Source organism: Homo sapiens, chromosome 1 (assembly GCF_000001405.40).
Source record: "Homo sapiens chromosome 1, GRCh38.p14 Primary Assembly".
In the NCBI taxonomy this organism is placed as follows: Eukaryota; Metazoa; Chordata; class Mammalia; order Primates; family Hominidae; genus Homo; species Homo sapiens.
In genome coordinates, this window is record NC_000001.11 from 161,524,350 (window position 1) to 161,550,985 (window position 26,636).

The 26,636-nt window shown below is 45.0% G+C and overlaps 2 protein-coding genes, 3 non-coding genes and 1 pseudogene across 14 annotated transcripts, besides 3 other annotated features; 3 read left to right on the top strand and 3 right to left on the bottom strand.

Moving 5' to 3' along the window:
- HSPA6 (heat shock protein family A (Hsp70) member 6) lies at nucleotides 191-2,545 on the top strand. Its single transcript, NM_002155.5, has one exon. It carries the CDS (start codon nucleotides 310-312, stop codon nucleotides 2,239-2,241), a length of 1,932 nt encoding a protein of 643 aa, NP_002146.2. The 5' UTR covers nucleotides 191-309; the 3' UTR covers nucleotides 2,242-2,545.
- Nucleotides 2,546-5,992: 3,447 nt separating this feature from the next.
- TRL-CAG1-6 (tRNA-Leu (anticodon CAG) 1-6) lies at nucleotides 5,993-6,075 on the bottom strand. The gene has a single exon. It is a non-coding gene; the product is annotated as a tRNA-Leu (tRNA).
- Nucleotides 6,729-6,788: a silencer, noted in NCBI's record as "silent region_1481". NCBI's record gives its function as "represses an Ori minimal core promoter by ATAC-STARR-seq in GM12878 lymphoblastoid cells {active_cell/tissue: GM12878}" and the evidence as "EXISTENCE:reporter gene assay evidence [ECO:0000049][PMID:35858748]".
- Nucleotides 6,764-6,835, top strand: TRG-TCC2-6 (tRNA-Gly (anticodon TCC) 2-6). Its single transcript has one exon. It is a non-coding gene; the product is annotated as a tRNA-Gly (tRNA).
- Nucleotides 12,222-13,811, bottom strand: RPS23P10 (ribosomal protein S23 pseudogene 10; annotated as a pseudogene).
- Nucleotides 15,868-16,097: a silencer, noted in NCBI's record as "silent region_1482". NCBI's record gives its function as "represses an Ori minimal core promoter by ATAC-STARR-seq in GM12878 lymphoblastoid cells {active_cell/tissue: GM12878}" and the evidence as "EXISTENCE:reporter gene assay evidence [ECO:0000049][PMID:35858748]".
- TRN-GTT1-1 (tRNA-Asn (anticodon GTT) 1-1) lies at nucleotides 15,892-15,965 on the top strand. The gene has a single exon. It is a non-coding gene; the product is annotated as a tRNA-Asn (tRNA).
- Nucleotides 17,410-26,388, bottom strand: FCGR3A (Fc gamma receptor IIIa). Of its 10 annotated transcripts, none has more exons than NM_001386450.1 (6): nucleotides 26,287-26,388; nucleotides 25,348-25,431; nucleotides 24,662-24,682; nucleotides 24,072-24,326; nucleotides 20,352-20,609; nucleotides 17,410-18,850 (listed from the first exon to the last, which is right to left on the bottom strand). In NM_001386450.1, the coding sequence occupies exons 2-6, from the start codon at nucleotides 25,385-25,387 to the stop codon at nucleotides 18,663-18,665; spliced, it is 762 nt and encodes a 253-aa protein (NP_001373379.1). In that variant the 5' UTR covers nucleotides 25,388-25,431; nucleotides 26,287-26,388; the 3' UTR covers nucleotides 17,410-18,662. The 10 variants fall into 10 exon arrangements, with proteins under 10 accessions (NP_001373379.1, NP_001316049.1, NP_001121065.1 ...); NM_001329120.2 differs by having other exon boundaries at nucleotides 24,072-24,329; NM_001127593.1 differs by lacking the exon at nucleotides 26,287-26,388 and adding an exon at nucleotides 26,182-26,274 and having other exon boundaries at nucleotides 24,072-24,329; nucleotides 25,348-25,449.
- Nucleotides 24,262-24,761: an enhancer, noted in NCBI's record as "H3K27ac hESC enhancer chr1:161518401-161518900 (GRCh37/hg19 assembly coordinates)". NCBI's record gives its function as "activates a minimal SCP1, AML or CMV promoter by ChIP-STARR-seq in naive H9 embryonic stem cells {active_cell/tissue: H9 hESC(naive)}" and the evidence as "EXISTENCE:reporter gene assay evidence [ECO:0000049][PMID:30033119]".

Here is a 26,636-nt window from a genome sequence, read left to right on the forward strand (position 1 = left end):
CGATCTGCCCGAACCTTCTCCCGGGGTCAGCGCCGCGCCGCGCCACCCGGCTGAGTCAGCCCGGGCGGGCGAGAGGCTCTCAACTGGGCGGGAAGGTGCGGGAAGGTGCGGAAAGGTTCGCGAAAGTTCGCGGCGGCGGGGGTCGGGTGAGGCGCAAAAGGATAAAAAGCCGGTGGAAGCGGAGCTGAGCAGATCCGAGCCGGGCTGGCTGCAGAGAAACCGCAGGGAGAGCCTCACTGCTGAGCGCCCCTCGACGGCGGAGCGGCAGCAGCCTCCGTGGCCTCCAGCATCCGACAAGAAGCTTCAGCCATGCAGGCCCCACGGGAGCTCGCGGTGGGCATCGACCTGGGCACCACCTACTCGTGCGTGGGCGTGTTTCAGCAGGGCCGCGTGGAGATCCTGGCCAACGACCAGGGCAACCGCACCACGCCCAGCTACGTGGCCTTCACCGACACCGAGCGGCTGGTCGGGGACGCGGCCAAGAGCCAGGCGGCCCTGAACCCCCACAACACCGTGTTCGATGCCAAGCGGCTGATCGGGCGCAAGTTCGCGGACACCACGGTGCAGTCGGACATGAAGCACTGGCCCTTCCGGGTGGTGAGCGAGGGCGGCAAGCCCAAGGTGCGCGTATGCTACCGCGGGGAGGACAAGACGTTCTACCCCGAGGAGATCTCGTCCATGGTGCTGAGCAAGATGAAGGAGACGGCCGAGGCGTACCTGGGCCAGCCCGTGAAGCACGCAGTGATCACCGTGCCCGCCTATTTCAATGACTCGCAGCGCCAGGCCACCAAGGACGCGGGGGCCATCGCGGGGCTCAACGTGTTGCGGATCATCAATGAGCCCACGGCAGCTGCCATCGCCTATGGGCTGGACCGGCGGGGCGCGGGAGAGCGCAACGTGCTCATTTTTGACCTGGGTGGGGGCACCTTCGATGTGTCGGTTCTCTCCATTGACGCTGGTGTCTTTGAGGTGAAAGCCACTGCTGGAGATACCCACCTGGGAGGAGAGGACTTCGACAACCGGCTCGTGAACCACTTCATGGAAGAATTCCGGCGGAAGCATGGGAAGGACCTGAGCGGGAACAAGCGTGCCCTGCGCAGGCTGCGCACAGCCTGTGAGCGCGCCAAGCGCACCCTGTCCTCCAGCACCCAGGCCACCCTGGAGATAGACTCCCTGTTCGAGGGCGTGGACTTCTACACGTCCATCACTCGTGCCCGCTTTGAGGAACTGTGCTCAGACCTCTTCCGCAGCACCCTGGAGCCGGTGGAGAAGGCCCTGCGGGATGCCAAGCTGGACAAGGCCCAGATTCATGACGTCGTCCTGGTGGGGGGCTCCACACGCATCCCCAAGGTGCAGAAGTTGCTGCAGGACTTCTTCAACGGCAAGGAGCTGAACAAGAGCATCAACCCTGATGAGGCTGTGGCCTATGGGGCTGCTGTGCAGGCGGCCGTGTTGATGGGGGACAAATGTGAGAAAGTGCAGGATCTCCTGCTGCTGGATGTGGCTCCCCTGTCTCTGGGGCTGGAGACAGCAGGTGGGGTGATGACCACGCTGATCCAGAGGAACGCCACTATCCCCACCAAGCAGACCCAGACTTTCACCACCTACTCGGACAACCAGCCTGGGGTCTTCATCCAGGTGTATGAGGGTGAGAGGGCCATGACCAAGGACAACAACCTGCTGGGGCGTTTTGAACTCAGTGGCATCCCTCCTGCCCCACGTGGAGTCCCCCAGATAGAGGTGACTTTTGACATTGATGCTAATGGCATCCTGAGCGTGACAGCCACTGACAGGAGCACAGGTAAGGCTAACAAGATCACCATCACCAATGACAAGGGCCGGCTGAGCAAGGAGGAGGTGGAGAGGATGGTTCATGAAGCCGAGCAGTACAAGGCTGAGGATGAGGCCCAGAGGGACAGAGTGGCTGCCAAAAACTCGCTGGAGGCCCATGTCTTCCATGTGAAAGGTTCTTTGCAAGAGGAAAGCCTTAGGGACAAGATTCCCGAAGAGGACAGGCGCAAAATGCAAGACAAGTGTCGGGAAGTCCTTGCCTGGCTGGAGCACAACCAGCTGGCAGAGAAGGAGGAGTATGAGCATCAGAAGAGGGAGCTGGAGCAAATCTGTCGCCCCATCTTCTCCAGGCTCTATGGGGGGCCTGGTGTCCCTGGGGGCAGCAGTTGTGGCACTCAAGCCCGCCAGGGGGACCCCAGCACCGGCCCCATCATTGAGGAGGTTGATTGAATGGCCCTTCGTGATAAGTCAGCTGTGACTGTCAGGGCTATGCTATGGGCCTTCTAGACTGTCTTCTATGATCCTGCCCTTCAGAGATGAACTTTCCCTCCAAAGCTAGAACTTTCTTCCCAGGATAACTGAAGTCTTTTGACTTTTTGCGGGGAGGGCGGTTCATCCTCTTCTGCTTCAAATAAAAAGTCATTAATTTATTAAAACTTGTGTGGCACTTTAACATTGCTTTCACCTATATTTTGTGTACTTTGTTACTTGCATGTATGAATTTTGTTATGTAAAATATAGTTATAGACCTAAATAAGCTTTTAAAACTCCTTCTTGTTTTTCATTCCAACCAATCGAAGTACAAAAGTACCCAAAGGCTTTCAGAAGCAGAAAATGTTGGGGTGGGTGCTGAAGGAGGAATGTGAAGAATATTCCTGAGACCGTGTACATGATTCCTATAGGGGAAGGCAGGATTTGGAAAAGAATTTGAGGCCAATACATTGGAACAGTACTGAAGAGTTAGGGCTGGTAAAGAGGAGAGGATTGAGACTTACAATGCAGGAAGAGAGAGGGAGAGATGTGGAATTGGAAAAGCAGAGAATGAAGAGAAACTTAAGTACTGGCAGTGTTTCCATGTGTGATCCTATGATTCAAATTCTGTATTTTTGTCATAGGAACCTGGTTGAGTTTGTCAGTCTAGCTGTTTTAATAACACTAACAAATAGTTTACATGCTTATTAGCTGTTTGTAATCATGTCACTTTATCCATTGTTCTTTTAGAGAAAAGACTCTGAGTCCTGGACTCTGGAGGATGGTATATGTCAGAGGAAGTAGATCTGGTGGTACGATTAAAGTTACTATTGACTTTATCTATGTCAGAGAAATAGTATGATCCCATGTGGTTTCTGCCCATGGCATAATGAGGATGTTGGAACAAGACTCTATAGATTTTCAGCCCTGCCACTTTATATACTGTGCAAATTAAACTCTCCAAGCTTCAGTTTCCCCTTCCCTGCAGTGGGGATGATGATGATGATAACAGTACCAACCTCCAGACTGTTGTGAGGGTTCAATTAATTAATATATGTAAGAGGCAAAGAAGAAAGGTGTATAATATACTATCAACAAACATTAGCAATTACTATTAATTGTTAGTTGGGTGATAACTATGTATCAGGTACTTGACATACACAATCTAACTTAATCTTCACAGCAGCATTATGGAATACTATCTTCTTTTTGAAGATGAGCATTATGAGGTTCAAAGAGGTTAAACAATTTATTCAAAGACACAAAGCTATAAAGTGGGGACAGGAAGGCTGGAATGAAGAACCCTGTCCTGCCTGAGTCTAGAGCCTCAGCATGCCACCTTACAAATAGGCCATAACTCCACTTATTACCAGACCTTCCCCTAGATGTTTTGAAATTGGTCATATTATTCCTTTGAAACACAGCTGGATGCTGAGCCCCGTGAGAAAAAGTGTGCATTTTATTGTATACTTGCAGAGACAGAGTCTTGCTCTGTCGCCTAAGCTGGAGTGCAAAGGTGCGATCTCAACTCACTGCAACCTCTGCCTCCCGGGTTCAACCGATTCTCCTGCCTCAGCCTCCCCAGTAGCTGGGATTACAGTTGCCTGCCATCACACCCAGCTAAGTTTTGTATTTTTAGTAGAGATGGGGTTTCACCATGTTGGTCAAGCTGGTCTCAGACTCGTGACCTCAGGTGATCTGCCCACCTCAGCCTCCCAAAGTGCTGGGATTACAGGTGTGAGCCACCACGCCTAGCTAGTTGTGTGTTTTTTATAGCAAGTGACGGAATCTGCAAAATATCCTTAGGCACAACTTTACTGCCAGTTGAGTCAATGACAATATAAAAGCAAGGATATTTGCCTTTGCTTTGTTGGTGTAAACAAAATAATCAAAAGGATAAACTTGTGTTAGTTCCCAGTCAATCCAATCCAGAGTATATTTGCCCTATGGGCATTGGGAGATTTATTTTTATCTCAGAAATTATGGGAGAGCTTGGCTAGAACAATGCTACATTATACATTATATTTCTTAGGTTGATTTTTTAAAGACGGAGAGAAGGTTACACTAACAACTCACTTGTCCCTGGCTGTCATTTCACATTTTTAACTGCCCTCTTTTCCTGGCCCTGGCCCAAGTCTTACGCAGCCTGGCTTCACATGGAAGGAACCTGAAAAAAAAAAAAAAGAGAGAGAGAGATGGAGTAACACGTACATCCTGCATTACATTCTTCCTTTCCTGAATCTCATCTCAATTCTCAACATTGACCCCCCTCAACCTGTTTGAACTTCTCAAGAGGATTGATAGTACTCACTTTTTTATAGTTTCTTAGTATTTTGATAGTATGCCTTTTATCCTTTTAAAAAACCCAACACACACAGAATATAAGAAGAAAGATTTTTATCGTGTTTAGTTGTGACATCTCAGATCCTCCCATTTGAGTGCAATCTATTTTTCTATAGAGAAATATAAACAAACTTTATTTACTTTTAAACGTCTGTTGATCATTTTGGTTTAGTTTCTTTGGGGACTGTTTCTTGTATACTAGGTATCTAAAAATCCTTATATTGTATGTAGTCTTAGTTTGATTATTGTAATCACAACTATGTCACCCAGTTCCAAAGGGGGGGAAAAAAGTTTGAACAAATTAAATCAGAACACATGCCCATTATTAAAAAAATCAATTCTTGGTACAAGCAGTTTCTTGCCCCCTTCCCAGGTCCTACTCCTCACAGGCAACCACTTTCAAGTTGTTGGTTTTTTAAAAGAATTTTTGATTTTGCAATAATTTTAGATGAACAGACAAGTTGCAAAGATACTACATAAAGTCATTACTCTATATCCTTTCTACTTCCCCTAATGTTAAAACCTTACATAACCATGTTATATTTATCAAACCTAAGAAATTGGCATTGGTATAACATTAATGACTAACTGTAGATTTTATTCATGTTACTTTTTTTTTTTTTGGACACAGGGTCTCACTCTGTACGCCAGGCTGGAGTGCAGCCTGGAGTCAGCCGATCTCGGCTCACAAAAACCTCTGCCCCCTGGGCTCAAGAGATTCGCCTCAGGCTCCCGGAGTAGCTGGGACTACAGGCGCGAACCCCGGGTACTTGGGAGGCTGAGGCACGAGAACCGCGTGGACCGGGAAGACGGAGGCTGCAGTGAGCCAAGATTGAGCCACTGTGCTTCAGCCTGGGGTACAGAGTGAGACCCTGTCTAAAAAAAAAAAAAAAAAAAAAAAGGCTGGGGAGCGGGGCAAGGCGGTGGGAGAACCTGATCCTTACCAAAGTTTGACACTACTGCGTTAGCGTTAAAAAAAAAAACCCAGCTAAGACTGTAGAGCAAATTAAAGGATCCTGAGTTGAGGGCGTTCTCTTGTTTAGTCAAAGGAGATGGTATCTGCCTGCCTTAGTGTGCTTGACGCACAGAAAGGGCTCAACACATTGTTGTTGAATAAAAGAATGGATAAATTGACACTGGGAAGTTGGAGTCCAAAGTTAATCTTAGTCTCAACTGCTCCCTGATTTCATAGACCAGACTCCAGCCTACAATACAGGAAAAATAGATATAGTTCTATATGTGCAGAGAAGCACAAATAATTTTCGTAAATGTAGATACCTAGGATAAAAGGCAGTGTTGACCGATCGAAAAGTCTTTCTCTAAGAATTCAAACATAATTGCTGGTTGGTTCAAATCAGGAGGAAAAGTAAGGACGGAAAACACATATTGTCAGGAGTGGGATTCGAACCCACGCCTCCAGGGGAGACTGCGACCTGAACGCAGCGCCTTAGACCGCTCGGCCATCCTGACACATGTTTTACCATGCTTCCTAATTTCTCCTAATTTTATCATATACTGATGGTGCACGCTATCAGGTCACATTAATGTGTCTATTTACTGTTTCAAATAAAATTGTAACTCTCTCTAGACCTTGTCGCAAAGCGGGAAAAATGAAACAGGCTCCGACAGCTCTTTCCTCTTTCCTCACTACCCAAACTAATCCTTAAGGCTCCATTTTCCCTGGCGACTCTTCGAGCGCCCCTCTGCTTCTGTAGAGGGGTCGAGCCATGTCAAGGTAGACCCTGTGTCGGCCCGTCTCCCTCGGATCCTCCGCACCAATCACTGTTGCTGAATCCGACACCCGGCGGATCCAGTGCGGAGTCTCGAACAGCTGCGGAGCTGGGAGCTACGGGACATGAAGAGAGCGGGGTGGAAGAGAAGACGGCGGAGGAAAATCCCCCGGCGATGCTCAACTGCGGCTTTCTCTCTCGGCTGTGAGCCGGCTCCGCCCTCCAGCTTCCAGAGCCGGTGGCTTCTGCGTTCACCGCCCCGCGCCGTTTGCGGGGCGGGGCTGATTCATAAGAATCGGTTCTCACCAATGGAGGGCTTAGCTTGTTTAACCTCAGGATCATAAACAAAAGACACTGCTAGAACGGTCGGGAAAGTCATACGCTTTGCTTATCTTATATATAGATATCTAAAACTCCAAACCGGGTACGCGTTGGTGGTATAGTGGTGAGCATAGCTGCCTTCCAAGCAGTTGACCCGGGTTCGATTCCCGGCCAACGCAAGGGTTTTTGTCTTTCCTTCTACGAAAAACCTTTCTCAGTCAGAACCTATAACGCGCTGTGTATCCGTTTTACGCCTCAACGAAGTATCCGTTTTACGCTTCAACGAAACTGCAGCAATACCTCACTTTCCGTACTCGCTTCCTGTCTTTCCCCTGGCCTCTTTCTAAACCCAGGCGTTTTTTGAAGGGATTAAATTCTGATGGTTCTTTCCTCCCTTCCTTCCTTTGTAAACTTCCAACTCTTGAGGAATCTTTGGGATCATTTCAATCCTGGGATGAGTCTTAGCTTCAGAAAGGGGCTCTTGTGTCTTCACTTGCGAGGTTCATTCGCTAGCCACGCACTATTGAGCACGTGAACTTGGCTAGTTTCTCTAAGAAACTGCATTTTCAAATTTAGTCTTAGTAAATAAATCAATTGAAATAAAATTAATAAGTGAAAATTTTAAAATGGATACTTAATAACTCAACCATTGGAGAAGGTTTCAGTGCATTTGAAACAACGTGGCTATTGAATCTACTTTTTCAATTGTAAATTTTATGAAATCTAAATACGGATTTTTTTCCGAAGAAAATTTCCTTTCCGAGTTGAAATGTGCCGTCTTTAAGTGTAAAATACATAGCGATTTTTGAAGACTAGCTAAGAAAAAAAAAAACAGCCAATTAATATTTTTATATTGATTACTTGTAATATTTTGCATACGTTGGGTTAAAGAATAGGATTTGTTATTAAAATTATCACCTCTTTCTTTTTACTTTTTAATGTGACTATTAAAAATGACATGTGGGACTCGAATTATGTTTCTACCGTAGTGTGCCGGTCTAGAGAGTAGAAATATAACTTTGCCAACAGTCAGCGACTTTCCCTGAAAGCATGCTGGTAGCTTAGGAATATCTTTTTCTAAAAGACAATTTCCAAAAAAAAACGCAATATTCCCGGTTGTACTCGTTAGTATAGTGGTGCGTATCCCCGTCTGTCACGCGGGAGAGCGGGGTTCGCTCTCCCGACGGGGAGATTACAGTTGCTTTTTATTTTTTCTCCTCGTCTCTTCAGTCAAGAAAAAACAATTTACAAGAGCTTAAAAACCAAATTAAAATAATTAACAAAAAGAAACACAAACTCCAGTCCCAGTTAGCTACAATCCCTTTTTAATAAATTCCAGTCTTCATTTTAAACCTAGTTAGCTCCTAACACCTATTTTTCTTATATGCCTGTGTTAATGTTTAGGCCTTGTATACTCAATGCTGTAACCCAAATTGTTTCCTCTCGCCTAAAGGCTATCAAGCTCCAAAGGGCAATGCAATAAAACCACGCATAAATACGCCTTTCTTCCAAAAACCCTTCAACCTGCGCCCCCGCCCGCCCCGCAAAAACCTTAGCTGCTGTTCCCCACACAACACCCCTTTCCAGCAAAAAATTGCCAAAAAATTCAACACCCAATCTCCCTAACAGCAGTTAGGAGTGGAGACCCTAAGGGGGAACTGAAAGGAGTTAGTTAGCTTGGTAGATAGCAAGGGAAGTGTCTCTGGAGAGCCCCTGGCCCCACGGGTCAGTGCCTCATTCCCACATAACAAAAAAGCAGCCTGGGAAAAAGTCAAGCTTCGGGCAAACTAGCACCGGAGGTTGCGCCTGAAAACATGCCGGTGGCTGCACAAATAGGAGAGCCTCCGACTTTCTGAGATAAAAACTTGCACAAACCTCCAGCTCACTCAAATAAGGGAACAAGGCCTGAAATAGAAATGCCTTTGTTCTTTGTATAGTCAGCGGGCTCCCAGGAAAAAGTTCCTTCTCTTTTTGTAGGCATAGGCACAGTAGGCTCCAGTGGGTTCCAGTAAGCACTTTTCTTTCCTTTTTTTAAACTGCAAGTCCAGCCTCTATAAATCACAAGTTCAGCCCCTAATTGGTCCTGGGCAAGGTCCCGAGCCAAGCTTTCACTTCAGTTCCTTAATAGGTCTAGGGCCAAGCAAAGCAGCCTCTACAAATCATCACTTAAGCCCCTAATTATTCCCGGCCGAGGTCCTAGGCTAAGGTCCCGGGCCAAGCTTTCTAATTAGTCCCAGGCCAAGGTCCCAGGCCAACCTAAATCACGCATTCTCCAAAACAGCCGGCAAACTAAGCACATTCCTTCCCGTTTCCAGTCCATAAAACCCCCCCAAGTGGCCTCATAGTAAGCAACCCATTCGGGCCCCCCTCTCTGCTGGCAAAAGGCTCAGATGTACTGGACTGAGCATTTGATTTGGAACTGAGTTACATGGGAGAGAGGCAGGGATTCAGTTTGGCTGGGAATCAAACTCTTTTGATAATTTCCTAATAAACTGATAGTCATTAGATGACTTGTAGTCTCGATAAGTTGAAACTTTTTCCTAACATGCTGTTTATGATACTGAGTTCTTTGTCACCGGTTGAACTAACAGCAATTGTATTCACAAATTTTCCAGCCTTTAAAATACTGTCTGAGGGTTTTATGTATCCGTTATCTTTTATTATACAAAAGTCATTTATTGGAATGACATATATAATTAGATTGACCCTAACCATTCAGGCTGGATGAGGCAACACAGTGTGAAGATTAAGTGCATGGGCTCTGTTGTGCTTCCTGTGTTTGAATCTTGGCTCTCTTTGTCTCCATTTCCTCCTGTAAAAGAGGATAATGATGATAATTTTAATTCTTCAATGGGTTAATATATAAACATATATTACAAATGTATAAACATTGCCAGGAGGGTCCATTGTTAATGCCTGTAGTGGGATGATGTTTGAGATTTTAAGTCTCATTCCCTAAAATGGAGGTGAAATTCAACAGGGATGGGAAGAAAGGACATCTGCACCTCAGCCACCCTTTAGCTCCAAACCTCCCTTATGCTCTCATCTGCCCCACAGCCTCCATCCTGTAACAAGAGGACCAGCTGTGCCAGTGGAGGCCACAGCATCTAGCTTATGCCTTCAATGTAACCTGTTACTGCCCACCTGCTCTCCCTGATATTCTCTGACTCTTAGTACTAAGGTCCCACAGAGGCTGCAGTGCCCACGGGCAAGAAGAACCAAAGGGTAGTACTGACTGGTAGTGGCTAGCCACAGCTGTGTGGGGCCAGATTGACACTGCGCAATCGCTAAGTGGATCAGTGTTCAGGCTGCCCTGTCTTGGGAGACATATAGGGACAGGGACCTATAACCAACACCTGCCATAGGCTGGCTTCAGTTAGCCCTTCACGTTGGGATTCACTGAGTGGTTTTTCTGGAAGTGGCCACCTAGAGTTCCCTGTGGCCAGCCAAGGTATGGGGGCTGGCTTTTTGGGATGTCTAGGGAAAGCCAAAAGCAAAACCCAGAAGATAATTCTTTTTGTGGAGGAGTTAACAGATATAGCACTGACCAATCAGAATAGCCACTGGCTATACATTTCCCCATTATAACAGGATTCACTGCATTCCATAAATTTTGTTTTTTTAAATTTCCAAATATATGAAGGCTTTTAAAAGTTATTTTTTGTCATTGATTTCTGAGTTAAATTCCTTATGTTCAGAAAATGTGCTTCATATAGTACTGATTCCATGACATATGTTGAAGCTTACTGGCCTTAGCCAGGTGCAGTGGCTCAAGCCTGTAATCCCAGCACTTTGAGAGGCCGAGATGGGTGGATCACTTGAGATCAGGAGTTCAAGACCAGCCTGACCAACATGGTGAACCCATCTCTACTAAAAATAAAAAATAAATAAATGAAAAATATTAGCCAGGTGTGGTGGCACACGCACCTGTAATCCCAGCTACTTAGGAGGCTGAGGCAGGAGAATCACTTGCACCCAGGAGGCGGAGGTTGCAGTGAGCTGAGATAGTGCCATCATACTCCAGCCTGGGTGACAGAGCAAGTCTCCATCTCAAAAAAAAAAAAAATAAATAAATAAAAGAAACTTATCAGCCTCATATAAAGTCAGTTTTCATAATATCCCATGTGAGTTTGAGAAGAATGTACAACTAATAATTATTGATTGCAGTTCTATATATATATCTGTTAAATTGAGCTTGTTAATTGCATTCATATGCTTAATAAAAGTAAATAAGAAAAAGAGACACGCTTAATAATTTTTTTCTGTTTGATCTAGTAAAGGTTGAAGTATGCGGAATTCTCTCACTGTGGCGACGGATTTGTTCATTTTCCCTTGTAGGCCTAATTCTTGTTTTCATATTTTAATGCCATTTTATCAGTTACATATTCATCAGTAGTTTAATCTTTTATTATATGATGACCATCTTCATCCCTAATGATGCATTGTTTCTTAAACTTTATTTTGTCTGATATTGTATAGCTAAATGCCAACTTTCTTTTTGTTAGAATATTCCTGGCATTCCCTTTTCCATTTAGTCTTTCTGTTTCTTTACATTTTAATGTCATTCTTCTAAACAGAATAAAATTGATCTTAAAAATGCATTTTATCTTTTAACTGGAAGGTTTTGTTCAGTTGCATTATTATAATTACTGTTATAGGCCGGGTCATGGTGGCTCACACCTATAATGCCAGCACTTTGGGAGGCTGAGGCGGGTGGATCACTTGAGGTCAGGAGTTCAAGACCAGCCTGGCCAACATAGTGAAACCGCATCTCTACTAAAAATTAGGTGGGTGTGGTGGCATGTACCTGTAGTCCCCAGGAGGCTGAGGTGGGAGAATCGCTTGAACCGGGAAGGTGGAGATTGCAGTGAGCCAAGATGCCACCACTGCACTCCAGCCTGGGTGACAGAGACTCTGTCCACCCACCCTCCAAAAAAAAATAGCTGATATATTTGAATTTATTTCACCACCTAGTTTTGTACTTCTGACCTCAATTATTCTTTTATTCTTTAAAAATTCTTCCTTTTTACTCTCCTGCTTTTGCATTGCTGTCACATACATGTAAAATGTAGCATAGGAAATGTATACGTATTCACAATCAACTGGAAACTAATAACTTTTTATTTCTGCTGTCAATCCAACAATGGAGGTAAAGCACAGAGTGGTAGTTCCAAACTTGAACTTCACAGATGAACAAAATTTCCCCACAATGTTGGTTACTGGCCAGGCAAGGTGGCTCAAGCCTGTAATCCCAACTACTTGGGAAGCTAAGGCAGGAGGATTGCTTGAGCTTGAGAGTTGCAGGCTGCAGTGAGCTAAGATCGTGCAGCTACACTCCAACCTAGGTGATAGAGCAAGACCCTGTCTCTAATGACATCAGAAAAGTTGGTTACTAGTATAGGGTGGCCAACTTTTCATTTTGCCAAATTGCAAAATTCATAAAACAAATAGCCACAAAACTATCATCTATCCTAATTTTAATTTTAAAAAAGAAAGGACATTTAAAAACAACTTATTTTGGCAAATGAAAACTTATTACTATTGGGTTTTCACCATTAAAGCTGATGAGCTTGGTCTTTCCTCCTTGCTTTTGATAGGGCCAAAAGAGAGACATTGGCTACTTTAACAACTTTAAGGTGGACTCCAGGAATATCACCAACAGCATGACCTTTCCTGCCAAATCCAGCAACCAGAACTGTTGCAGGAAGTCAGGACCCTGAATGGAGGGACCAGCTGGAGTCGAGGCAGAAGAACATAAATTGTGATGATTTCATGGACATTTATCAGTTTCCAAAATTAATACTTTTATAATTTCTTACACCTGTCTTTACTGCAATCTCTGAACATAAATTGTGAAGATTTCATGGACATTTATCGCTTCCCCAATCAATACTCTTATAATTTCTTATGCCTGTCTTTAATCTCTTAATCCTGTCATCTTCGTAAGCTGAGGATGTGTGTCACCTCAGGACCCTGTGATGGTTGGGTTAACTGTGCAAATTGTAAAACATCTGTGTTTGAACAATATGAAATCAGTGCACCCTGAAAAAGAACAGAATAACAGCAATTTTCAGGGAACAAGGAAAGATAACCGTAAGGTCTGACTGCCTGTGGGGTCGGGAAGAATGGTGTCATATTTTTCTTCTTGCAGAGAGCCTGTAGATGGACACGTGAGTAGGAGAAATATTGCTGAATTCTTTTCCCCACAAGGAATATTAATAATTGATAGCCCTGGGGAAGGAATGCATTCCTGGGGGTAGGTCTATAGATGGCTGCTCTGGGAGTCTCAGTCTTATGTGGTTGATATAAGGACTGAAATACACCCTGGTCTCCTGCAGTACCCTCAGGCTTACTAGGATTGGGAAATTCCAGCCTGGTAAATTCTAGTCAGACCAGTTGTCTGCTCTCAAACCCTGTTTCCTGTTAAGATGTTTATCAAGACAATGCGTGCACAGCGGGATATAGGCCCTCATCAGTAATTCTAATTTTGCCTTGCCCTGTGATCTTTTATCGCCCTTTGAAGCATGTGATCTTTGTGACTTACTCCCTGTTTGTACACCCCCTCCCCTTTTAGAATCCCTAATAAAAACTTGCTGGTTTTGTGGCTCAGGTGGGCATCATGGAACCTGCCAATATGTGATGTCACCCCTGGCGGCCCAGCAGTAAAATTCTTCTCTTTGTACTCTTTCTCTTCATTTCTCAGACCGGCCGACACTTAGGGAAAATAGAAAAGAACCTACATTGAAATATTGGGTGCTGGTTCCCCTGATACAGAACTTCATCATTTTTTTCAATAAAATTCAAGCAATCATCATCAGGTACAAAGGCTGTGATTTTCTTGCTGTTCTCTCATCTGCCTCACAGCCTCCATCCTGTAACAAGAGGATCAGCTGTGCCAGTGGAGACCACAGCATCTAGCTTATGCTGGATGATCAGCTTGGCCCTGGCACACTTCTCAGTGGCAGAGCTGGGCTATTTGGCTCCAATCCCTACTTTTTCCAGCCCAATTCCCTTTGCATGAGAAGCACCTCCAAAAAGGCTGGTCTTCAGGACTGTGCCCGAATGGGCTTTCTTGTACCATTTACCATGCCACTTCTGATCCTGTCGGTGACAATGGAGCTTCCTGGCAGTAGACAGTCCATGACACTTGCCCATATTGCCAGCTCCACAGGTCTGAGCAAAAGAACAGAGACAAAAATTTAAAGTATAAAAGAAATGACTCTAGGCCTGGTACAGTGGCTCTCACCTGTAATCCCAGCAGTTTGGGAGGCTGAGGCAGGAGGATCACCTGAGGTCAGGAGTTTGAGACCAGCCTGGCCAACATAGCGAAAGCCCATCTCTACCAAAAATACAAAAAAATTAGCCGGGCGAGGTGGCAGGTGCCTGTAGTCCCAGCTACTCAGGAGGCTGAGGCAGGAGAATGGCGTGAATCCCGGGGGGCGGAGCCTGCAGTGAGCCGAGATCGCGCCACTGCACTCCAACCTGGGCGACAGCGAGACTCTGTCTCAAAAAAAAAAAAAAAAAAATACAAAAATTAGCCGGGCATGGTGGCCCATGACTGTAATCTCAGCTACTCAGGAGGCTGAGACAGGAGAATTGCTTGAATGTGGGAGGTGGAGGTTGCAGTGAGCCAAGATTGCGCCACTGCACTCCAGCCTGGGCGACAGAGCAAGACTCCATCTCAAAAAAAAAAATTAATAAAAAAAATAAATGACTCTAGTTTAAAGATCATTTGGCAAATTTATTTATTTATTTACTTATTTATTATACATATGATACTGTGTACATATAAACATATATGCATATATAATTTCTGCATATACATATCTATGTTTGCATGTCTTCTCATTTCACTGAACATCATTGAAAACTTCCACCTGCTCCTAAACTGGAGCCCACTGATGACAGAGGATGGCAGGGCAGAAAGAAAGGAGATTCTGTGTGGAGGCTATGGAGAGACCCTGGTTTTTGGGCAATATAGAAAATGGCTTTCGTCCAAGTGTTCTTATTGTTCAATTCCCACCTATGAGTGAGAACATGCGGTGTCTGATTTTCTGTCCTTGTGATAGTTTGTTCAGACTGATGGTTTCCAGCTTCATCTATGTCCCTACAAAGGACATGAACTCATCCTTTTTTATGGCTGCATAGTATTCCATAGTGTATATGTGCCACATTTTCTTAATCCAGTCTATCATTGATGGACATTTGGGTTGGTTCCAAGTCTTTGCTATTGTGAATAGTTCCACAATAAACATACGTGTGCATGGTAGGGAACATCACACACCGGGACCTGTCGTGGGTGGGGGAAGGAGGGAGGGATAACATTAGGAGAAACACCTAATGTAGATGACGAGTTAATGGGTGCAGCACACCAACATGGCACATGTATATGTAACGAACCTGCACCTTGTGCACATGTAGCCTAGAACTTAAAGTATATATATATATGAATAAAGTATATATACATATGAATTAAAGAAAAAAAAAAAGCCTTTTTAGACCCAGCACTGACGAGGTTCCCTAGGTCGATGGTGGTGGAATTAGGGGTCTCTGTCCTCAGATATTTGGATCTGGATATGTCAGCATGAAAGTCCTTAAGTTGCACGCATTTTTTAAAAAATATTTTTTATTTCCAAGCTGAATACCATTAATTGGAATGTTACAGGCTTTTTAAGCTCCGTGTTCTGTCTGCATGTCTAATATGCCGGTAGAAACCTTTCAAAACAGCGTGGGTTGAAGACTAATTTTGTAACACAAAACTCACTTACTTAGACATCACATTTTGCTGGACGTGATTGGACCTGAAAGAAAATATTTTTAATGCTCACGATAATAAGCTTATTATGAGTCAGCACTAAACGTGTGCACATGCATACATAAGTTGTCTACATCAGCAAAAAAAGCTTATCGTCGTACTTCTCTGACCAAAATCAACGGAACCCCCGAACCCACAGAGAGCATCCATTTTGGATTCCCCGAAGACCCTTCGTTCCTGCATTCTCTTCTGCTCTCCTTTTCTCAACCTCTTCTGCTGGAAGCTGAGTCCTGCTCCAGATCTAGGCAAGTGCTAGCGCAGAAAAAAGACCTGCCTCGCTCAGGGCTATGAGCCGCGCCCTGAAGCACGGAAAGCTAATTGTGTCACTGGTTTCAAATCAACCTCAATTTTTTTGGAGACGTGAGTGCTGAGCATTTTTTCTTCAGTGAAGTGACTTGGCAGCCAAAATCGCCAACGCCCGTCTCTGTGGCGCAATCGGTTAGCGCGTTCGGCTGTTAACCGAAAGGTTGGTGGTTCGATCCCACCCAGGGACGGAAGTCGCATTTTGTGAACCCTGGGTTTTTGAAACTTTGACTGAAAAAACTGCGTGCGATGCTATCCGCTGGGAGCGCTGGGGCCTTGGCGCTCAAAACCAGCCGCGGTGCTAACCGCAGGGAGCTCTGGTAGCAGACCTCCGCGTTGTGTGGTTCCCAATGTCCTCTTCTGCCTTAGTGCTGTACGGGTAATTTTGAGGTATTTGGTTTTTCCGACTAGGGTTGTAGTGATAACTCTTAGCTGCTTAACCACGGCAATTACGTTATGGAAACTGACACTTTAAGAAAATTTACTGACCAAAGGAAGTAAGTACTAATAATACCAAAACGAATTGTTTGTCTTTCCACCAAACCTGTACCTGCCTTGCCTTTCTATTTCCTAACTCAGAAAACGGGCACTATGTGTGGAACCTGGTCCTTAGTCACGCCGTGTACTGCTGGCTGCCAATTCTTGGAGAGTCGGCCTCCTAAATACCTTGTTGATTAAGCACCTTCCTCTCCAGCCTCACCGCCAGTTACTTCCTCATTGCTCCCTTTGGGTTACTGCATCCTGCCTTGCTGCCCTATTTGGCTTCTGGTCTTCAACTCTCCTGTCCCGTCCATCCATCAAGTAGTTGCGAGAGAATCCTTCTAAAATACTATACGGTACAAACCTGGTCTGCTTAAACTCTCTCAATGTATTGCAGGGTCTGATACGATCTCCTTAGTTTGGAAGGTAATGCCCTTCATGATCTGGCCCTGAAACTCTTTCCTCTCCCTCACCGACACAGAACCAAACTGCTTTCTTGAACTCACACTCTGGTTTTTGAATCTTTGCCTATGAACCTTGGGCTTTTCTTCTCTTCTTTGCCTGGCGAACTCCTACTCATCCTTCATGACCACACCCCCCAAATCAAGCCTCTTTTCTGCAGCCCTTTCTTCATTCTCTTCCTATTTAACTGTTTTTCTCACTAGAAATAAAGCTTCTCCAGGGAATGACCCTGTGTTGTTCATCTGGTATCTTCAGCACCTGAACTCAAGCTTGCACATTGTAGGTAGTAAATAAATGTGAGTTGAATGTCCAAGGTTTCCAAATGCACCTGTGTCGTGTCGGAATCTTATGTAATATTTATGTATGCAATCTAGCTTGAATCGTCTTGGTATATAGCTCATAATTCATACAATCAGGCTGACCCTCTACCTCTGCCCAGGCCTCTACCTCCTGTGTAGCTGTGCCTTCTCCTATCTGCCCCAATGCTCTAAAACGATCTCTAATGCTTATTCACCCTCCTATCCCATACTTCCCATAAGAATCCTCCTTAGCCCAATTGTCTCAGCAAGATTTGGAAAGCAAGCTGGCTAATTTATATGAGTTGTGGTGAGATGGTTGCTGGGAGGAGGGGGTGTTTCTTACCAATCCAAACCAATCTCTGTTACAATGTTGGACAAAGGGAAGAAGAAAGAATTTTATCATTCATATTTTATTACCATGGTTTTCCCATCTTCTATCTAAGAGTAGCATGCAAGATCTTGTAAAATGCTTTATTGGAACCAAGAAATGTTGCGCTTAAAGCTTACAAAACAGAGACAGCTAAAGCTTTCTTTCATAAGCAACAATTGTCTTCTCCATCCCCACCTCATTGGAACTGACATGATGAAGGATTTGAAAGTTTCATAACTTAACTCAGCGAAGCTCAGTAGTACATTTAGTATTGGTTATACAACATTTGTTTAATAAATGCAATGAACAAAGCTACACAGGAATTAGATATTGAAGCAGAAAAGGTGGTTTTACAGTCCCTGCATTAACCTCTAATTCTTACTACCCTGGCCAAGAAAGCATTTTCACCTCCTGCGCTTTCCTTCCTGTGTGCTTGTGGTTGGTTCTTTCTTCTCAGGCTTTCTCATTCTGATGCTGAGATAGTTCTGTTCACTTAGCAACTTGGGACAGTGACACAGGGTTTGTTCTGTACTTTCTTTTCCACCCCACCCCCCACCGCAATCCTCAGTCCCCTTCCTAGGACCATTTTCTACTCCTAGCATTAAGAGGACTCATCGTTATATACTTGGAGATGGTCCAGTTCTGATAGAGTCCCCTGGAAGACTCAATTCTACGTCACCCTCATGATTTCCTGTTAATTCCACTACGGCTAATGTTCTAGGAAGACACCCTTATCTCTGGGCTCAGATGGGAACACCTCCCTTAGACTATCCTGGACTACCTGCTATTTCTCAGCCATGCTTTCATTGGTCCCACTGAATTCCCTAGATCCCCAGCAGTTCCCACACTCTGTATGGTCCTGCCTCAACCATTAATTCTACTTATCCATTTATTTAGGAATAATTGTTTTTTTTTCCCCTCTAAACTGGGTAATTTATAACACGAGCAATTTTTGTATGTTTAAAGGATTACCATCCCTAGCCTGTATTGTTGCTTTGCTGTGAGGGAACGGTTGGGACAGAAAAAGTGTTTGTGTAGCTCTGAAACTTCAATTTCTAGGAATGCAGCTACTCACTGGGGCTTCCCTGCTTGAAGATCATGGGCTTTTCCCTTCCACTGGAGACCAAGGAAAAGTCGAGAGTTGGATAAGGGATCTGGCTCTGAGTTCTATGTTTCCTGCTGCTTGTAGAGAGGCCTGAGGATGATGGGGTTGCAAATCCAGAGAAATGTTCAGAGATGCTGCTGCTACTGCTCTTATTACCCCCATGGGATGGGGGTCATTTGTCTTGAGGGTCCTTTCTCCATTTAAATTTATGGTCCTTCCAGTCTCTTGTTGAGCTTCGAATGTTTGTCTTCACAGAGAAATATAGTCCTGTGTCCACTGCAAAAAGGAGTACCATCACCAAGCAGAAAGAGACTTGGTACCCAGGTGGAAAGAATGATGAGATGGTTGACACTGCCAAACCTATTAGGAGAAGTGGAGAGATGAAAAAAAATGACAGTCACTAAGGCAGATATTTGGAACAAACAGTGAGGTCACCAGTAGAAAGTCTTTGACAACAGCCAACAGGCAAGTGGTAGGAATGGTGGGGAAGTCTGGGGGAAAGTATTGCTTCCTCCCATTGGTTCCTGATCTTAGTGCTATCTGAGCAGAGGACAGCTCACCAAACACTGAGCAAAGGCTCCTGCTTGTTTGACAGAGATGTGACAGGGAGCGTTAACAAGTTAGGTTGTAAGCTGGGTTTTGTGTGACAGTTAAGAAATTGTCAGACAATGCTATGGTCTAGAAACTGGGACAAATTTGTTGATTTTGCATTTCAATTTTTTAAACTCTTGATTTTGATATATTTCCAAACTTAAAAAAAAAATGACCAGAATAGTTTAATCTCGTATATCCTTTACCCAGATCCACTCATTGTTTACATGTTACCCCATTTGCTTTATTTGCTCTCTTTCCCTAACCACTTGGGAGTATTTACTTTCAGTTTAAAGTGTCATGAAATTATTTTTGTACAAATTATGGCATTGTAGTGTCAAAATCTCAAAAGGTGTTTTGCTGCCTTTCTACATGCAAATTGTTTACAATTTATGTCTTGGGCTAGTTACAGATAGAAGTTCTGTGAAACTGGAAAGTCCAGGCACACCACTCTAGAGCTCTGATTCTGGAGGCTGGTGCTACAGAACCTAGAGATGTTTTGTGGATGACTTAATGGGATCATAGGATATTAGTGCTTGTTCAAATCTTTTACTTACTGGTTAAATATACAGGCTTTGAAGTCTTTGATGTGACCTTAGGGAAACTTATTTATTTATTTTTGCACCTCGGTTACTTCATCTGTAAAATGGAATATTACCTATCTCATGTTGTGAAGGTCTACTGTGATAGTCAAACCAGGTGCATGTAAAGAATTGTTTAGCACAGAGTCTAGCACACTGAAAGGTGCCCAATAAATGTCAGCTTATTTTTGTTACGGAAGAAGAAATTGGGGTTCAGAGAGACTAAGTGGCTCACCTCTGGTCAGATGGTTAATTAGCTGCAGGGCCAGAACCCAGGTTCTGGGCTCTTTCTGTGAGGGGATGAGGGGCTCCTGCCAGTTTGGATCGTGGCTAAAAGGCTTGGATAAGAAGGAGGCCAGCACGATAGGAACATATGACACCGTGGGTGTGATTAGCGTAAGGAAAGACAGAGGTATTTATTGGGGAGGAGATGTGGCTTCTGCTCCTGCCATCATGCTGCAGAGTGAATGACACCTCCTAGCTACCCCAAAAGAATGGACTGAAACAGAGCTGCAAACCTACCCTGCAATCAGGGACTTTTGGGGACCTCCTGGTGATCACCAGGAGGGAACCACATATGAAGAAGTGCGTGTAAGAATCAGGAATCTCCTCCCAACTCAACTTCCCAGTGTGATTGCAGGTTCCACACACAGGCGTCCCTGGGCATTCCAGGGTGGCACATGTCTCACCTTGAGTGATGGTGATGTTCACAGTCTCTGAAGACACATTTTTACTCCCAAAAAGCCCCCTGCAGAAGTAGGAGCCGCTGTCTTTGAGTGTGGCTTTTGGAATGTAGAAGTCAGAATTATGATGAAAATACTTCCTGCCTTTGCCATTCTGTAAATATGTGACCTTATGCAGAGCAGTGTTCTTCCAGCTGTGACACCTCAGGTGAATAGGGTCTTCCTCCTTGAACACCCACCGAGGGGCCTGGAGCAACAGCCAGCCTGAAAGACACAGACACCCCAGGCCCGGGAGGCCTCAGCTCTCAGTGCAGAGCTTTGTGAAGGGGCCACGTACCACCCAGATCCTGAGACATAAGGGAAAGCCAGATTGGGAGTCAACCCTGCATAGCTCCCTTTGGGGAAGAGCTGATGGGGCCCTGCAAGAGAACTGAAGTCATACCAAGACCTTTGTCTAATGGGGAAGAGGGACACACACACATGTGATCAACACACAGGGTTAGAGCAGAGGGACTAAGCAATGAGGTAAGTGAGAAGCAACGATGAGCATATCTGCAGGATCCTTAAGTGCTAGACTTAGATTTGCTGTGGCAGGTGACAAGGATTCACAGTAAGTTCTAGATCAGAGTAAAAATTGCATTTGAAAATGATGAATTGCCCTATTAGAGGAAAAGGTAGATTTCAGAAGGAATAGGCAATCAAAGGAATATTGAAAGACTCTTGTGGCAGTCAGGAATAAGGTGACGGTGGCCACGGAGTGGCTGCAGAAATTGTGAAGGAGAACTCAATGTAAACACCAGGGAGGGGAAGGGCGGGACTGGTATTGCTCAGCCTGGCAATTCGTGGTTTCTAAGGTGTCACAGGGCCTCGGTGAGACCAACTTTATTACTGAGCATGGCCTTCAAGAGAGGAAATTCTTGTATCGCCAGAGCTTATTCTCACGATCATGTCACCAAGTAATTTACTGAGCATGGCCTTCAAGAGAGGAAATTCTTATATCGCCAGAGCTTATTCTCACGATCATGTCACCAAGTAATCAGACTTCACAAAGAGAGAACATGAGGTCATGGTCGGGAAAGGGCCTGAATAATTAAAAAATAATGATGTTATAGGTAAGTATTATAATGGCATAAGAAAATATTCATGAGACAATTTTAAGTTAAAAAAGCATAATACTTCAAATATTTTAAAAAGTATTATGCACAGAAAAAAGAAGGATATGCACTTACATATTAACAGGGGTTTTCTCTGAAGGAGTGGGACTGAAGGACATTTTAAATTTCTCCTGTTTACTTTTATATATTTTTGAAATTGACCCCAAATGACTTTTGTAATAAGAACAAAACAAAATTTACAATAATTTTATTTTTTAAATCTACATTCTCAGCTTGAATTACTATAATTTAAAAAATCTACTACCTGATGCTAAACAAAATTGGTAGGACGTGTGTTGGTCATGATTCTCTACCACAAAGATTTGCCAAACAGAAAGTAATCTTCATTACCTATTAAGAGATATCATTTATCAAAAGAAGCCATGTGCCTATCTATCCACTTACTTTTTCAGCAGAGAGATGAATCATTATTAGCATAAAGTCATGGTTAGTATATAGTCTGGTGGCCTTTGGAGGAACATTCTTGTTCGAATCTATCCTGTCATGGACCCAGTGAATGTCCATATGTATATTCCTTCAAGTGATATTTCATCAAGCACTCACTATGTATGACACACTGTGGACTGGAGATACCCAGATGATGGGACATATAGTTCTCAGCCTCAAAGAATCTACAGTCTAGACATAGAAACATAAATATTCAGAAATAATCACAATACAATATGACAAGTGCTACAACAGGCTAAGAATAAAGGACTGCGGGGCTGACTAGATTGGAATAAAGAAATTCTGCCTGAAAGAAGTAAAAAATGCAGGCTGGGCGCGGTGGCTCACATCTGTAATCCTAGTACTTTGGGAGGCCGAGGTGGGCAGATCATGAAGTCAGGAGATCAAGACCATCCTGGCTAACGCTGCGAAACCCTGTCTCTACTAAAAATACAAAAAATTAGCCGGGCGTGGTGGCATGCACCTGTAGTCCCAGCTACTTGGGAGGCTGAGGCAGGAGAATTGCTTGAACCCGGGAGGTGGAGGTTGCAGTGAGCCAAGATTGCGCCACTGCACTCCAGCTTGGGTGACAGAGAGAGACTCTGTCTCAAAAACAAAAACAAAAACAAACACAAACAAACAAACAAAAAAAGAAGTAAAAAATGCTTCTCAGAGGAGGACATAAGTGAAATGGGTCCTAAAGGATTAAAGGATGCTCAGAAGTTTACCTGGTGAAGCTAATTCTCATGGTCACAGTTTAATATAGCCTTGATTGGCTAGACTTCTAAAGCCAGTTTCTAGAGCCAAGTTCAAGGCAAACTAGTAACTCTTAGACTTGATTTTTCTATTGCTTTCTCTTGGTAATTCCCCCATTTTATTTGGTTGTAGGTGGACATCTCTTACCTAGCTAGAAATGGACATATCTTCTTGTAGCTCTGGAGAGTGAAGACCATGTCAGTTGAGTGGTACTGTCAGAGGCCAAAGAGCCACAAAAATCAGTTTCAGAGGCCCAATTCCATGGAGCTCTCTTGCAGATCCACCTCCTTATGCCCTTCTTCCCCCAAAGCTTGTTCCACCCATAAACATTGTATGAATGGAACAGCCGTGGAAGTAGAGTTAGGTTTGCAGGGCGACACTGCAGGGACCAGCCTATGTGGTAAGATTGTAGGGACACCAGGAAAGACCTCTGCCTTCAAAATATTTCTCCTACCTGTGTCTGACGTCTATATTCTGTTAATAGTACACAAGAACTTTCATGTCATGATTAATGTGCAGGCTGAACATGTATCTGCCTCTATTGGAAGAGCTATCACATTACCAAATTTATGCTTAATTATAGGTTTGAGTATAGCATTGATGAGGAGACAGAAAGATATGATGCTAGGCCACTAGGATTGCTTTGGGAGGTGGCTTAGGGCATTACATGTCTGAGAGCGAGAAGGAGATTGAGGTCCTAACACCAAATTCATTAATTTATTCAATAAATATTATTGGCCAGGTGTGGTGGCTCACGCCTGTAGTCCCAGCACTTTGGGAAGCCAAGGCTGGTGAATCACCTGAGGTCAGGAGTTTGAGACCAGACTGACCAACATGGTGAAACCCTGTCTCTACTAAAAATACAAAAATTAGCTGGGCGTGGTGGCGGGTGCCTGTAATCTCAGCTACTCGGGAGGCTGAGGCAGGAGAATCACTACAACCCAAGGGGGCAGAAGTTGCAGTGAGCTGAGATTGCCGCATTGCACTCCAGCCTGGGTGACAGAGTGATACTCTGTCTCAAAAAATAAAATTAAAAAAAATGAAAATAAATATATAAATAACTATTATTGAGCATCTATGCCATGGCCTAACCTTCACATGACACATTCACATTGTATGCACTCCATATGGGGATTCTTGGAATTGTGCAATGCAGCAGTCCTATATCTACTGTCTGACAGGCTTTGACATTTTGCCCAAGACCTACTTAGAGCTAGGACTACAACTCTGATACCATTCAGTGGGACCACACATCATCTCATCTTAGCTTTTATCTCTAAGAATATCATCTCTGGCTCTTACCAAGTATTTCAGGACCCTTTGTTTCACCCTTTATTGGTGATTTTCCTCTTCCCCTTCATCAACTCACCGATATGGACTTCTAGCTGCACCGGGTCACTGAGGGTGGAGAGGTTTGTCTGGCACCTGTACTCTCCACTGTCGTCGACTGTGGCAGCGTCAATGAAGTAGCTCGAGGCCTGGCTTGAGATGAGGCTCTCATTGTGAAACCACTGTGTGGAATTGTCCTCAGGGGAGTAGGCTCCCTGGCACTTCAGAGTCACACTGTCCTTCTCGAGCACCCTGTACCATTGAGGCTCCAGGAACACCACAGCCTTTGGGAGATCTTCTGAGGAGCCAAGATAATGTGGGGTGAGGACAGGGAGAGGAGCAGGCTCTACACTGCCATTCCCAGGGAGCCTCAAAGCCAGAATGAGCTCATTGCAAACCCATGCTTGGTGGCTCAGTCTTAGAGCATCTTGGCCCCATTTTTGGCCTGTTCAGTATCTTAAGGAAAGCTGGCCAGAGAAGCACAGGGCCAAGTTCTGCTGTGTTGGAGGAACTATCCCTGCTAACCCCACATCAGCATTTTCCCATTCAACAAGCATTTCCCAATATCTTATGGCCTTTGTCCCCATATGTGCCCCACTGGGTCAATCCAAGACCATGAAGCTGACTCACCAGTCCGCATGCCAGCTGAAACTGCAAGAAAAAAGATAAATCAAATATTGAGTAGGGGCAGAGATCAGAGTGATTAGAACATAGAGTGAGTTTAAAACTCCCCTGCCCTCCTCTGCCCCAGGAGCCCAATTTTCCCAAGAATCAGGATGTTTCTGGTGGAAACCTTGCTACCTGCTCTCTGGTCTCCACTGTTCATGCCTCTTGCGCCACTGTCAACACAAATCCCTATTTTCAACACTGCTCCCTTACCCCTTGCTCCCTGTGCAAACTCACAAATTAAGGGTACAGGTTGAATTTCCCTGAACCAAGCTACAGAAAGAGCCTCAACCCATATCCCCACAAGAAAGGGTAGAAATTGAAAATCATAGAGGAGAACCCTGGAATGTCAAACTGAAAGAGACAGACCCTAGGGACCATCTAGTCGAAGCTCTTTGGTTCCACAGAGTGATTCTGGGACCCAGAGGGGTGAAGTGACTGGCCTCACTCATGAGTATGCCCCAATTGGAACCAGCATTCTCCTCATTTCTAGCCCCATCTTGGCTTGTCCTAGGAGCTCAATCCACAGCTATAGATGTGGTGAGGGGTCCCATCCCTTCGTGGGAGTCTCATTCGTAGCCTGAAAAGGGGTCTCTGCTGAACCCAAGGCATCTCAAACTTCTCCCTCAACCAGGGAGACCCTGACTTACCTAGAAGTAGCAGAGCAGTTGGGAGGAGCAGCTGCCACATGATGCCACACTGGAGTGGACAAGTCACCAAAGATATCCGGAGCCCTAAAGGGACCAAACCGACTAGACAGGAGGAAGTAAACAGCCTTTCCCCAGCCCCTCCACCCATCTCTGTCACCCACCAATTTCCTTTTCTTGAAACTTCATCTGACTTCTCAGTCTGAAGTCTGGCAAGGGAGCCCCACCATAGAACAGGACCAGGAAGGAAAGAGCCTGGAGGCAAGGTGGGTGGGTCTGCCCCCTTTACTCCCTCAAAGGTCTGTGGCTGAGCATCTGAGGACACACACAGAATCTGCCAGAGTGTGCCCTCAGCCATCCCAGGATGCTTGCCCCATCTCCTGGATTTGGATCCACCCAGCACCAAGAATGGGACAGTGAGACCCTGGGGATGAGATTCAAGGTGGGAGGAGCATTCTCTGAGGGCTTCCTTCATTTCACCTCAGAACTTGTCACTCTCCTGCCTCGCCCAGACCCATCTATCTCCAGCTGAGGCCCTGCCTGCACACAGAAAGTGGTCCTTTCAAATCTTCAGACCACTAGCAGTGTCTCTGCCTCAATATTATCTCCACGCAGAATTTCTTTCAAAATTCAAAATTCAAAATCTATATGCTCCTGGGATATGTAATCCACAGGAGCTACTGACTTTTTAGTGTGATTTGATCATTAGATTTCCAGGTTAGAAGAAACCCAGGTAGGGTAGAGAAATGGGCCCTGGAAGAACAAGTCACCAGCGAAAGGCTGAAAAGATCACAGAAAAGGTGGGGGTGGGGAGGGGCGAGGACAGGAACTCTTTACCTTCCTCGTGTTACCCAGGTCCTGCGGATTTAGCTCAGGCCCCTCCGGGCCACTGGATCTGGGCTGGTCTGTCAGCCTAGGAGCCGGGGCTCCAGGGCTCCTTACCAGAAAAGGTGGAGGGGGGTGGCCAGGAAGTGGGAGGGTTGTTAACCTCTTCTCTTCTCTCCAGATTCTCCCCCGTAACCCCACGTTGGTTACTCTCACAATGGTCCAGGTCCCAGGCAGAAAATCAGATGACTCTGCTTGATAGTGCCACTCCCCCAGTGGATTCGTGGACATCTGGGACAGGTCTCACCTGGCTTAGAAAAGCCCAGGAGGCGAGCAGCAGGCCCGTGTGGGCACCTGATACTTGTTAGGGGTGGAGTGGAGGCAGGGGCTGACACAGGTGCCCGCCAACCTTTGCTATAAATGAATGCTCTTTCTACTCCAGAATGACCTAAAAACCACTACTCAGG

Bases quoted from the DNA above. Each gene is read 5' to 3' on its own strand.
- HSPA6 (NM_002155.5), top strand. From the start codon at position 310: ATGCAGGCCCCACGGGAGCTCGCGGTGGGCATCGACCTGGGCACCACC.
- FCGR3A (NM_001127592.2), bottom strand. From the start codon at position 25,702: ATGGCTGAGGGCACACTCTGGCAGATTCTGTGTGTGTCCTCAGATGCT. The intron at 24,327-24,661 runs GTGAGTCAGCTT...GCTCCTCAGAAG, and splicing joins TTCAGCTGGCATGCGGACTG to ATCTCCCAAAGGCTGTGGTG. The intron at 20,610-24,071 runs GTGAGTTGATGA...TGTGTCTTTCAG, and splicing joins GCAGCTAGAAGTCCATATCG to GCTGGCTGTTGCTCCAGGCC.